At 35.6% G+C, this 14,573-nt stretch overlaps 1 long non-coding RNA gene across 4 annotated transcripts in view; it reads left to right on the top strand.

Annotated features, from left to right (window-relative positions):
- Positions 1–14,573, top strand: part of LOC105374140 (uncharacterized) — a 266,957-nt gene that overhangs the window by 178,371 nt on the left and 74,013 nt on the right. The window lies entirely within an intron of this gene.

Consider the following 14,573-nt stretch of genomic DNA (forward strand, 5'->3'; position numbering starts at 1 on the left):
CAAATGGCTGGGGGTTGATTGACAGCTTTGGCAATGTCAATGCAAACACCAGGCAAATCTAAGTAGTGGCAGAGAATTGATAAATACAGTACTGGTATCCACAGACTTCTTGTCAATGGCTTACCTAAATTGACTTCTGCTTTGTAGAGTGGGAAGAACATTGAAATTGTAGACACCAGTTTGCAATGCCCTTTAAAAGAGAAGTGATTACTTGAGACTAGGCACTGAATGGAATTTGTATTTGGCCTAAAATACATGAATCCCAGAGTGTGAAACAGAGAGAATTGCTGTGGACAAGAAGCAGTGGTACAGACTGCTCTACCAAAGGTCAGGGTAGAAAGGACTTTACCTTCATGTTAAGAGGATAGGAGAGCTTTCTTTTAGATAGTTAAAGGAGGAAATATAAGAATAAGACTTCTTTTTTTAACTTTCCATTTTTTTATTTTTTTGGGTACATAGTAGGTGCATATATTTACAGGGCACATGACATATTTAGATATAGGCAAGCAACGGGTAATAACCACATCATGAAAAATGGGGTATCCATTCCCACAAGCGTGTATCCTTTGTGTTAAAAACAATTCAATTGTACTCTTTTAGTTATTTAAAAATATACAATTCAATTATTATTAACTATAGTTACCACGTGGTGCTATCAAATACTAGGTTTTATTAATTTTTTTCTAACTATTATTTTTGTACCCAGTAGCCATTTCCATCTGCCCCCAAGCCCACTACCTTCTCACTAGTCTTCCCAGCCTCTGGTAACCATCCTTCTACTTTCTATCTCCATGAATTCAACTGTTTAACTCTTTACCTCTCACAAATAAGTGAGAACACATGAAGTTTGTCTTTCCATGCCTGGCTTATTTCAATTAACATAATGACCTCCAGCTCTATCCATGTTGCAAATGGCAGAATCTCATTCTTTTTTATGGCTGAATGGTACTCCATTGTGTATATGTACCACATTATCTTTATCCATTCATCTTTTTTTTTTTTTTTTTCAGATGGAGTCTCACTCTGTCGCCCAGGCTGGAGTGCAGTGGTACAATCTCGGCTCACTGCAAGCTCTGCCTCTTAGGTTCAGCCATTCTCCTGCCTCAGCCTCCTGAGTAGCTGGGATTACGGGCACCCTCCACCACGCCTGGCTAATTTCTTTTTGTATTTTTAGTAGAGATGGGGTTTCACCATGTTAGCCAGGATGGTCTCAATCTCCTGACCTTGTGATCCGCTCGCCTCGGCCTCCAAAAGTGCTGGGATTACAGGCGTGAGCCACCGTGCCTGGCCTATCCATTAATCTTTTGATGGACATTAGGTTGCTTTCAAATCTTGGCCACTGTGAAAAACACAGCAACAAACATAGTATGTCTTCAATATACCAATTTTCTTTCTTTGGGGTATATATCCAACATTGGGATTGCTGGATCATATGGTAACTCTACTTTTAGTTTTTATAAGGAATCTCTTAATTGTTCTCCATAGTGGTTGTACTCATTTACATTTGCACCAACAGGGTATCAGCATTCCCTTTGCTTCACATCATGGTCAGCATTTGTTACTGACTGTCGTTTGGATAAAAGCCATTTTAAATGGGGTGAGATATCTCATTGTTGTTTTCATTTGCATTTCTCTGATAATTAATGATGTTGAGTATCTTTTCTTATGCCTGTTGGCCATTTGTATGTCTTCTTTTGAGAAATGTCCAAACATTTTGCCAATTTTTAATTGGATTATTAGATTTTTTTCCTATTGAGTTGTTTGAGATCCTTATATATTCTATTTATTAATCTCTTGTCAGATGGATAGTTTGCAAATATTTTTTCCTCATTCTGTGGGTTATCTCTTCAGTGTTTTTGTTTCATACTCTGAATAAGCTATTTAACTTGATGTGATCCTGTTTGTCTATTTTTGCTTTGGTTGCCTATGCTTGTGGAGTATTATTCAAGAAATCTTTGCTGAGTCCAGTGTTCTAGAGAGTTTCCTTGATGTTTTCTTGTAGTATCTTCACAGTTTGAGGTCTTAGATTGAAGTTCTTAACACATTTTGATTTGATTTTTATGTATGATGAGACATAGGAGTCTTGTTTCATTGTTCTGCATATGGATATCCCGTTTTCCCAGCATCATTTATTAAAAAGACTGTATTTTCCCCAGTGCATCTTCCTGGCACTTTTGTCAAAAATGAATTCACCATAGGTGTGTAGATTTGTTTCTGGGTTCTGTATTCTGTTCTACTGGTCTATGTTTCTGTTTTTATGCAGTACCATGCAATTTTGGTTACTATGGTTTTGTAGTATAATTTGAAGTCAGGTAATATGATTTTTCCAGTTCTTCTGGCTATGATATCTTTAGCTTCTCTGGGTCTTTTGTGGTTCCCATTTAAATTTTAGCATTATTTTTCCAATTTCTATGAAGAATGTCATGGTATTTTGATGGGGATTGCATTAAATCTGTAAATTGCTTTGAGTAGTATGGACATTTTAACAATATTGATTCTTTAAATTTATGAACATGGAATATCTTTCCATTTCTTGTGTCCTCTTTAATTTCTTTCATGAATATTTTATAGTTTTCATTGTAGAGATCTTTCACTTCTTTGGTTAAGATAATCCTAGGTATTTAATTTTACATATGGCTATTGTAAATAGGATTACTTTTTAAATTTCTTTTTCAGATTGTTCACTGTTGGCATATATTGATTTTGTATCCTGCAAATTTACTGATTTGTTTGTTAGTTCTAATTAGTTTTTTGGTGGAGTCTTTAGATTTTTCTAAATATAAGATTATATCATCTGTAAGCAATGATAATTTGACCACCTCCATTCCAGTTTGGATGCCCTGTATTTCTTTCTCTTATCTGATTTATCTAGCTAGGACTTCCAATACTATGTTGAATGACAGTGGTGAAAGTGGGCATCCTTGTCATGTTCCAGGCCTTAGAGGAAAACTTTTCTGTTTTTCTCCATTCAGTATGATACTAATTATGCTCCTGTCATATATGGTATTTATTTTGTTGAGGTATGTTTCTTCTATAACCATTTTTTTAGGGTTCTGTCATAAAGCAATGCTAAATTTTATCAAATGTTTTTCCAGCATCAACTGAAATAATTGTGTGGGTTTTGTCCTTCATTCTCTTGATGTGATGTATGTATCATGTTGATTGATTTGCATATGTTGAACCATCCTTGCATTCCTGGGATAAATCTCACTTGGTCATGAGGAATGATCCTTTCAATGTATTGTTGCATTCAGTTTGCTAGTATTTTGCTGAGGATTTTTGCATCAATATTCATGAAGTTATTCACCTATAGTTTCCTTTTTTGAGGTGTCTTTTTCTGGTTTCTGTATCAGGGTAACACTGACCTCATAGAATATGTTTATAAGTACTTGTCCTATTTTTTTGGAATAGTTTGAGTAGGATTGTTATTAGTTCTTTAAATGTTTGGTAGAATTTAGCAGTGAAGCCATCAGGTCCCAGGCTTTTCTCTATTGGATGACTGTTTATTATGGTTTTGGTCTCATTACTTGTTATTGGTCTGGTCAGGTTTTGGATTTCTTCCTAGTTCAATATTGGTAGGCTGTGTGTGTCTAGGAATTTATCCATTTCCTCTAGGTTTTCCAATTTATTGGCAATATTAATGGTTTCTCATAGTAGCCTCTGGTAATTCTTTGAATTTCTGCAGTATCAGTTGTAATGTCTTCTTTTTCATCTCTGATTTTATTTATTTTGGTCATCTCTCCCTTTTTTTCTTTGTTAGTCTGGAAAAGAAATCAATTCTGTTTATTTTTACAAAAAAAACCCCAAACTTTTTGTTTCATTAAGCTTTCGTATTATTTTCTTCATTTCAAATTCATTTACTTCCTCTCTAATCTTTATTTTTTCCTCCACTAATTTTGGATTTGGTTTGCTCTTTTCTAGTTCTTTAAGATGAATTATTAGGTTATGTATATGAAGTTTTTCTTCTTTTGTGATGCTGGCAGTTATAGCTATACATTTTTCTCTTAGTACTGCTTTCACTGTATCCCATAGGTTTTGGTATGTTGTGTGTCTATTATCACATGTTTCAAGAAATGTTTCAATGTCTTTTTTTTTTTTTTTTTTTTTTTGGAGATGGAGTCTCTCTCTGTCTCCCAGGCTGGAGTGCAGTGGTGTGATCTTGGCTCTCTGCAACCTCTACCTCCCAGGTTCAAGCAATTTTCCTGCCTCAGCTTCCCAAGTAGCTGGAACTACAGGCATGCACTACCATGCCTGGCTAATTTTTTGTATTTTTAGTAGAGACCTGGTTTCACCATGTTGGCCAGGATGGTCTCGAACTCCTGACCTCAAGTTAGCTGCCTGCCTTGGCCTCCCAGATTGTTGGGATTACAGGTGTGAGCCAACACATTGGGCCTTCAGTTTCCTTCTTAATTTATTTATTGACCTACTGGATATTCAGAAGCATACTTTTCCATTTTTTCCCCCAAAATTTCTGTTATTGATTTCCAGTTCTATTCTATTGTGGTCAGAGAAGGTGCTTGATACTTTTTTCATTTTTTGAATGTCGTAAGACTTGTTTTGTGACCTAAAATATGGTCTATTCTTGAGAATAATTCATGAGCTGAGGAGAAGAATGTGTATATTGCAGCTGTTGGATTAAATGTGTATATATCTATTAGGTCCATTTGTTCTACAGTGTAGATTAAGCTTGATGTTTCTTTGTTGATTGTTTGTCTGGGAGATGTGCCCAATGCTGAAAGTGAAGTGTTGAAGTTTGCAGCTATTATTGTATTGGTGCCTATCTCTCTCTTTAGCTCTAACAACATTTGCTTTATTTATCTGGGTGCTCCAGTGTTGAGGGGATATACATATATTTACAATCATTATATCCTCTTGCTGAACTGACTCCTTTATCATTATATAATGATATATATATCATGATATTTTTATTATACCTTCTTTATCTCTTTTTACATTTTTTGTCTTGAAATCTATTTTATCTGATAAGTATAGCTACTCTCACTCTTTTATGGTTTCCATTGCCATGGAATATCCTTCTCCATCTCATTATTTTCAGTCTGTGTGTATCTTTATAGGAAGAAACACACTTCCAAGAAGTGTGTTATAAAAACAGATCATTAGGTCTTGTTTTTTCTTCCATTCAGCCATTCTGTGTCTTTTTATTGGACAACTCAGTCTATTTACATTTAATGTTATTATTGATAAGTAGAGACATACTCCTGCCATTTTATTATTTATTTTCATCTATCTAGTTGTCTTATCCATATTCAAAGACCCTTGTGATTACACTGACCATGTAAATATCATAGGATAACTTCCTCATTTTAAGTCAACTGATTAGTAAACTTATTTTCATCTGCCACCTTAATTCCCACTTGTCATGCAACTATCATATTCACAGATTATGGGGAGTTGGATGTGGACATCTTTGGAAAGCCATTATTCTGTTCACCACAGTGACTGTCTCTTTCCCCAAGCCTAGAAGTTTTATTCAGGAGAATCTGTATCCACTCTTCTTATCTTTCAAATACCAACATCTTGGTTTTATTTAGTATGACAATTGCCCATCTAATAAAATCCAGTGTCCTATTCTCCATGCCAGTACAGAGGCATAATGTGGCACTCTTCCAGCCAATGAGTTACAAGGGAAACACCATTGAATATTTCTTCCAGAAATTTTGCTTTCCTTGTAATAAGGGTCACCTCTTTCTCTCTGCAGTATTGCTTTAGAGTCTAGATGAAGTATAATCACCTTATGACTGAGAATGATAGGAATGAATACATCAAAATTTCTGCATTAAGGATAAGAAGTAAAAATAAGCAAAGAGCCTTGGTCACTGATGACATTGTTTAGTTGCTGTATTGTATCAATTTAAGGCTTGCCTGTGGTCTCCCTGTACTTGTGAAATAAATACTACATACTTAAGTCATTATAGTAGGATTTTTAGTTGCTGGTTGCCAAATGAAATCTTGCTTACTAGCCTACATGAGAGCAAGAACCTTCTCTATCTTGTTTACCCCTTTGCTTCTGAAGCCCAGGACAGAGGAGAACATACATTAGGTACTTAATTAATGTTGGTTAAAATTCTCTAGAGATGTTCACTTTTGATCTATATTTAAATGATAAGTCAAAATTAACTAGTTTAAGAAAGAAGGGCGTGAAAATCATCTCAAACAAAGAGTACATGTGTGTCCTAATGTGACAGTAAGCTTGTTGTATTCAGGGAACTAACAGAAAATGGTATGGGTGTGAAATAAGCAGGAAAGGGAGTAAGGCTGCTAGATTAGCACGGTGAGATCAGCGGGCAGTGAGATCATGCACTGAAGGTCATGTTATTTTTTTTTTCTAATTATAAGAGCATCGATCAGTGATGGACAAATTTTAGTTGAGGTTATCATATTTGTATGTTTGAAAGCTCATTTAGGATGCCGTGAGAAGAAAGGTGGATGGTTAGTTCAAGAGAGATTAGGAGGATATGAAAATCATCTAAATGAGAGATGATGAGAACCTTATGTGGTATGGTGATCCTGGAAATGGAGAGAAATAGATGGATTGGAGAGACATTAGAAGATGAGACAACAGGACTTGGCATTTGACTAGATGTTGGGGCAGGAGAGGAAAGAGGTTGTGTTAATTCTGGTCTCTGGCAGTATATGCGGGAGGATCTCTGACAGCAATATCCTGGCGTTTCTCTGCTGGAGATAACTTTCTCAGAATTCTTTGTTGAATGTTCCAAGTTAGTAAGTGCAGGGCTATGACATAAACTTGTAAATGTTTCAGAACCCAGGATGAGGTACAAGTGACGATGAGTGGCTAGAGATAAAGCTGCCCAGATACAGGGCTTGGCTGACAGCCAGGGCTATGAAAAGCTTTGTAATCCACCTAACAGAATTTTTTTTTTATTATCTGCTTATTGAGGGCACTGTTTTAGGAGCCGTGTACATGAAGATGAATACCCTGATTTCAATGACCTCAGAATCTAGTGAAGAGTTTCTCACATGATTCATGAATGGGTCACCCACAAGCTGAGCTAGAGACCTGCCCTAGATCTCAGGGCAGCCCAAGCAACCTCTTCAACTTAAACCAGTGTGAGGTGCACATGGAGTGTAATTTCTACATGTATTCTGTGGAAGATTTTGGAGTTCACTAGTCCTGGAGATGAGTTAGACAAATAAATATAATAGTAATAATAACAATATAATGATGTAGTAACAAAATATAAGGTAATAAAAAATATCAAGGAGATAGTTTAGGTGACATTTTAAAAGTAAGTACTCTTCATGAAGCTGGAAGAATTGATACCCGTAGTTTTAGGAGTTTCAAACCTGAAAATTCTTTTAGAGTTTGAACTGTAAGATTCCTCATTTGTTTTTTCTGTACCTAGTTACTTTTCCAGGCAAGATGACATGAGACATTTTCCATCATATTTCATCGGCTGATGAATTTTAAATATACAGTAGTCAGAGAGCAGATGACAATGTAATGATGTGTCTCTGTACCATTTCCCCCTCTGGGTAAGAAGTGAATATGGAGAGGTGATATAGCATCTCATTAAGTTGAACTTGGGCGGTTCCTGAAGTAATATCATGCTCTTTCAATTATTTACTTTCTTCTGCTTCTGCGAGTATAAGCTATAGTTACCTGGGAAGCTTCCAATGCTTTTAAGCAAAAAGTGATCATTTTATATCTCCTAAAACTATGTGTTTGCCTGTGAAATTATTTATCTCCACAGATTTGCTTGTCTATCAAATAGCATTATGTTTTAATTTTTTGTAGATAGGCGCTTTATTAAATCTATATGGTTCTATTGTTTTGCTCTTTGTTTTTAGTTCAAGAATTTGGAAGGTTAAATAAAAGGACTGTTGGTTAAATCCAGCTGTACTGCTCCAGTACAACTGTTCCACGAAATTTCAGTATATTCCAAGGAGTTTTAATTGTGATTTAGAGTTGAATGAAAATAAATAAGAGGATCTTCTGAAATGATTGTAACAACTGAACTTGAAACTTGGCCTAGAAACTCATTTGGTTTATTGAGTCACTAAAGATTATAGTGAATATGAAACTATTTAAAATGTAATTCAGTACACCTCATTACTGCATCAGATTTTGATTGAAATAACACCCAGATATGTTGACCTGTTCTCAAACTCCTTGAAATCTGTGGTGTCAGCCATTGAGAACAATGTCAAACTCCGTCACTACCTTTTTCTTTCTTTCTTTGTTTTTTGTTTGTTTGTTTTTGAGACGGAGTCTCGCTGTGTCGTCCAGGCTGGAGTGCATTGGTGCGATCTCGGCTTACTGCAACCTCCGCCTCCGGGGATCTAGCAATTCTCCTCCCTCAGCCTCCCGAGTAGCTGGGACTACAAGCGCACGCCGCCACGCCCGGCTAATTTTTTTGTATTTTAGTAGAGACGGGGTTTCACCGTGTTGTCCAGGCAGATCTCCAACTCCTGAGCTTAGGCAGTCCACCTGCCTCAGCCTCCCAAAGTGCTAGGATTACAGACGTGAGCCACTGCGCTCAGCCTGTCACTACCTTTTTTCAATGCACAGATATATTATGAATCTTGTGAGACCCATCATGCAGATTCAGCCTCGGCCTCAAAGCTCATGTCTAAGCTCTCTATCCTTCTTCGGAGTGCTTAAATCGCAAATGAAGCTTTTTTAGAATTTTAGCATTTAACACAAAAACCATTCTTCCATTTCATAAATGCACTATGTAGGCTGTTATCCACAAGCACTATGAAAGGGCTGCTAACCACGTCAGCCCACTGTTACAATCAAGCTTTTTGTGATAAGAGTGTTTTAAACCATCTTGACAAATGCGTATAATTATAATAGTTATCATACGGAACACTCAGTATCCTCCAAGGGATTTTAAGTAGATGATAGAATCTTCATTTTAAAATAGTTTATCAGCCAGTAGATTTCCATTCTTATGTACGAAAAGTGCATTTTAGATACATAAAACCACAATAAATGCTCTCTTAACTATGTCAACCATTTTAGTAATCAAGCCCCTTTCTTTCAAAAGTATTTAAGCTATCTCATTAAGTATACTTCTAGAGGATATAATGACATTCCTCCACATCAGCAAGGAGATATAGAAATGCCTTGCATTTATATTCTCTCTTATCAGACTCCAGAGTTTTAGTAGTTAGGTCACTGGGATAATTAGGCCGCCAGAGCTTCTCATCCCCTTTTGCCTACCTGTCAACTCTGATGGCTGGCAAAAGATAATTTGCCAAATTGAAAAAGTTGCTATGAGGCTGGAGGTAAGTGTAGGACAAAGTAAGCAAATTTACAGCCTGTCACTTTTAAAGGCTCTGAGGAATAATTTATGAGCTCTTGAAGCCAATGTCAGTTTCATGGCCCAGAAAACATGGACATTTCTTATATAAGTCCTGAAACATTTATCTGATAATTTTAAAATATGGGAAACTTTGACCAGGATGTTCCACTAAGGCTCTCAGGCAGTTTCAGTGTGAGATGGGCATGCAGTGTGCAGGCACTGTTCAGTTCTCAGCATGGGCATATTTCAAATTAACCATAGGTTATATGCCCAGTTTATCTTTTACCTAAATCTCAGAGCTTCAAGGTCCAAAACCATCTTTCATATATTTTGATTTTCCTGTTAGCATTTACTATAACAGGCAATAAATGTGAGATATCTGTTTTTTCTAGAATCAGACTTTATTTTGACTTGGTAAGTCAATATTTAACCCCATCCTCTACTCCGATATCTTTCATATATAGATCTGTAGTAGAGGATGGAATCAAATGTTGATTTAAATAGTCAAAATGAAGAAACAATGTTTTTATGTGTGTGCATATATGTGTGTGTATATATATATATATACACACACACTATATATATTTATATATAAAATTCTTTCATATATATGAGGAAATGGATATATAGGTTTAAATAATAAAAATGTTAAATTGCTTGATCATTTTTATTTGTAATAAAATACCTAAACACAGTGAGAGAAAGATGCCCTTAGAGTCTAAGGTCTAAGGCTGTCTTTTTGGTATTTCATTCTGATGCTCTCATGTTCAAAAATCAATGTTAAACTATTAAGCTTGCAATGTTGTAACCTTAGTAGTTTATAAGTTAAACTACTAAGCAGTTAAATTCTAATAGAATTTAAGTACTGTAAAGAGAGCTGCCCGCCTCACATTGACCCTTTTCTCTTCTGTGTTTGTGTCTTTCAAGGAGTGTGCTTATTTACTGAAAATAGTGGTGTCAGAGCCGTAAATCCATATGACTATTTTGCTTTTCACAATCTGAGAAAATGACAAAATCGACGCCAAATGAATTGAGTGGTACTGAGATGCTGATGGTGTTTGTAAAAACACAAACTTTTTATTGTTTTTAATAATCTGTGGGCAGATATTTGATGTCACCGCCACTGGAAGATTAATATATCTTCATTGAAAGCAGTTTTTATCCTATGTGAATGATCAAACTAAGAACGTTAGAAGCTTCATGTAAGCACCTTCTCTGTACTTTGGTGTGGTGTAAAGTCATGGAATGGGTTAGCATTTATTCTCAAGCTTTAGCAATGAAATATTCCATGCAGTTTTCTTTCTATATAAACCTATTTTTAAAATTCCAGTGTTCACCTTTAAAGTCTTATTGTGCTACTTGGTTCCTCTGGGTGGAACACACTTTGGTCTTTTTGTTTTATTGCACTGGGGATATCAGCAGACCACAACTCTCCCCAGTCCCAAAAGAAGGCTGCTTTTTGAGTATGTGGGGGCAGGTATTGGGGAAGTGAGCATTAAAATCCTCAACACAACTGTACTTGATATCACTGACATGTCTTAACTATTGTCAGTGTTACCATCCCTTTTAAGCACTATTGATTCCCCATTGGCAGGTTCCCTATCTCCTCTGTTTGTTTCTTGGTCCCTATACTCTGCTAAGCCTGTTTACTTCCATTAGATTCATTTAATAGAATTAAATACTCCTTGTAATATTAAAAATTCTAGCTGTCAGGGCTACCCTAGAATTGATAGTAAAGTGTCCCATGACCATATATATGCTTGGAAGGAAATAGACAACACAACAGTGGGAAATAGTGTGCCTCTGCGTGGTTGGCATCAGAGGCAGACTGTGATCAGAATTGAAAAGTGTGTCAGCATTTGTTCTCATTCGGTTGCTCAGCATAGTGCTTCTGACAGGCAATGCTTCATCATGGAAGCAGATTTGAAGAGGACTTGTGCAGTATGCTGTACTTCCATAAATCAAAGAACTGGGCTGCCCAAGTCCTCCTATTTGGGAATAAATTGAATTGAAAATGAAATGCCTAGTAATGAACACTTAGCTGAAAAGGTTAGCAACTGGGACAGAGAGTGGGAGATGAGAGAATGAGGACTGGGTGATTTATTAAATTGACACAATCCCTAATTTTGCAATTTAACACCATTTTCTTTGTTCTTCTCTCAGTAGAGATGAAGAACAGCTGGTCAGTACCACCTATGTAAGAATCTATCATTTTCTTGAATGCCATTAATAAATGTCCTCATAGCCTTAGAAAAGACCAATTCCTTTAATCTTTCAAAAATGCTAAATCAAAACTTCATTTATTTCACCAGCCCAGGAATTTAAAATGTTTTCTGAGGATGGTTTGCTTCTTAGGCTAAAGCTTAGAACAGAACTTTCTCAACTAAATGAGAAAACAATTTGTTGTCCAATGGGAATGGAAATGAAAAAGCCAGGAATTCCAACCAAGCTGTTAAGCCTAGTGGGAAATGAAGGAAGGCAATCCACTGGACCTCATTAGAAGAATAAGAATTCTAGTCAACCCAGACTTGTGGGGGATGGCTACTGAATAGCTATTCAGATCCAGAGCCACTGCGGGTGGATTATCATGTTGCCACCAAGCAACTGAGTTTGTGGATTTTTGTTTAATATTTCTATAGTATTAATATGAAACAGCTGTTAACATGATTTGGCTATGCTTTATCTGCTACAGCTTCTGTGATTCACTGAACAACTGTTTTTACATTTGCTACTACTAAAATGTCTAAAGGGTTTGTGATTGGCTGATAAAATTTGGTAGACTATTGATCAGATTATATGCTCTCTATCCTTTATTCAGGTAAAGGATCCATCCTTGTTTCCATCAGTAATGGGAAGATCATGTGGGACAAAAGATCACCAATATGAGGAGCTGCCTAGGGCTCTTTTTGCAGTGTGGGGCTGACAGCTAGTCAGACACTTTTTCAATCTATCTAATAGTGTTGGTATAGATGATTGAGAATAGGAAAGAATACTTTTCTCTGTTGCCTTTCTATCTAAACACATAATTAGGATTACAAATGCCTTTCTCCATGTCAATGGCCATTGCACAACCAAAAAATACTCAAATGCTAGAGACTGGGATCCTTGGTAAGATATGTTTATACATGAATCTCATCCTTCCATTTATGTAATTTTATTGTAATTTAATTTTTTAATTGGCAAGCAATAATTGTACATATTCATGAAGTACTTAATGATGTTTTGATACATATAATGTATAGGGATCAGATCAGGGTAATTAGAATATCCATCATCTCAAACATTTATTTCTTTTTATTAGGAACATTCAGTATCCTCCTTTGAGCTATTTGAAACTATGTATTAAATAATATATTATTATAAACTATAGTCATCCTACTGTGGTGTAGAACACTATAATTTATTCATCACATCTAGCTGTAACTTTGTATCTTGAACATATCTCTTTCTATCCTCCCTTCCCCCTACCCTTCCCAGTCCTTACTATCATCCGTTCTACTTTTTACATCTATGATAACATTTTTTTTTCTTAGTTTCCACATATGAGTGAGAACATTCAGTGTTTGACTTCCCATTCCTGGTTTATTTCACTTAACATAATGCTATCCATGTTGCCATGAATGACAGGATTTCATTTTTTTAATAGCTGAATAGAATTTCATTGTGTGTATATACCACATTTTCTTTATTCATTCATTTGTTGTTGGACAGCTAGGCTGATTCCATATCTTGGCTATTTGGAATAGTGCTGCCATAAACATGGGATGCAGGTGTCTCTTCAATACACTGATTCCTTTCATTTGGATAAATGCCCAGTACTGGGATTGCTGGATCACATGATAGTTCTATTTGTAGGTTTTTTTTTTTTTTTTTTTGAGGAACTCCCATACTGTTTTCCATAACAGCTGTACTAAGTTACATTCCCACCCACACTGTATGAGTTTCCTTTACTACATATCTTTGTAAGCATTTGTTACTTTTTGATAATAGCCATCCTAACTGGTGTGAGATGATACTTCATTGTGGTTTTGATTTGCATTTCCCTGATGTTGAGCATTTTAAAATATATTTATTGGCCATTCGTATGCCTTCTTTTTAAAAATGTTTGTTTAGATCATTTAGTTATTTTAATCAGATTTTTTAGTTGTTGTTGCTGTTGCAATATTTGATTATTGTGTATTCTGGACATTAATCCCCTATTCCATGAGTAGTTTGCAAATATTTTCTCCAGTTCCACAGGTTGTCTTTTCATCCTGTTGATTATTTCCTTTGCCGTGCAGAAACTTTGCAGTTTCGTTCTTTTTGTTTTTGTTGACTTTGCTTTTGAGGTCTTCTTATTTATAAAACCTTTTCTCAGAGCAATGTTCTGATGCTTTTCCCCTGTGTTTTCTTCTGGCAGTTTTATAGTTTTGGGTCTTACGTTTAGGTCTTTGTTTCATTTTGAATTGATTTTCGTGTAGAGTGAGTAATAAGTTTCATCCTTGAGCATATGGATATCCAGTTCTTCCAGCAACATTTATTGAAGAAACGGCCATTTCCCCAATGAGTGTTCTTGGCACCTTTTTATCAGAAATCAGTTGACTATAAATACATGGGTTAATTTCTGGTTTCTCAGTTTGGTGACATTGGTCTATCTGTCTCTTTTTAGCCTAGTACCAGGCAGTTTTTGTTATTACAGCTTTGTAGTATATTTTGAAGTCTGGTAGTGTTATGTCTCCAGCTTTGTTCTTTTTGGTCAGGACTTTGGCTATTCAGGGTTTTTTTGTGTGTGTGGTTCCATACCAACTTTTAAGATTTTTCTCCCTATTTCTGTGAAGAATGTTTGTATTTTGATAGGGATTACATTGAATCTATATATTGTTTTAGGTAATATTGCCATTTTAACAATATTAGTTCTTCAGGCTTGTAAGCATGTCTTTCTATTTGTATCTTTTCTCAATATCTTTCATCAGTGTTTTACAGTTTTCCTTGTAGAGGTCTTTCAGCTCCTTGGTTAAATTTATTCTGAGGTATTAATTTTTATGTAGTTATTGTATATGGAATTTCTTTGTTGATTTATTTCTTAGCTAGCTTGTTGTTTGTGTATAGAAAAGTTACTTTTTTGCATGCTGATTTTGTATTGTACAACTTTATGGGTTTTCAGTGTTTTCTGGTAGCATCATTAATTATATCATCTCTAACAGGGACAATTCAACTTCCTCCTTTCTAACAAGGATTTTCTTTATTTCATTATCTTGCTTAACTTCTCTGACAAGGACTACCGATGCTATGTTTAATAAGAAC

Source organism: Homo sapiens, chromosome 3, assembly GCF_000001405.40.
Source record: "Homo sapiens chromosome 3, GRCh38.p14 Primary Assembly".
NCBI lineage: Eukaryota > Metazoa > Chordata > Mammalia > Primates > Hominidae > Homo > Homo sapiens.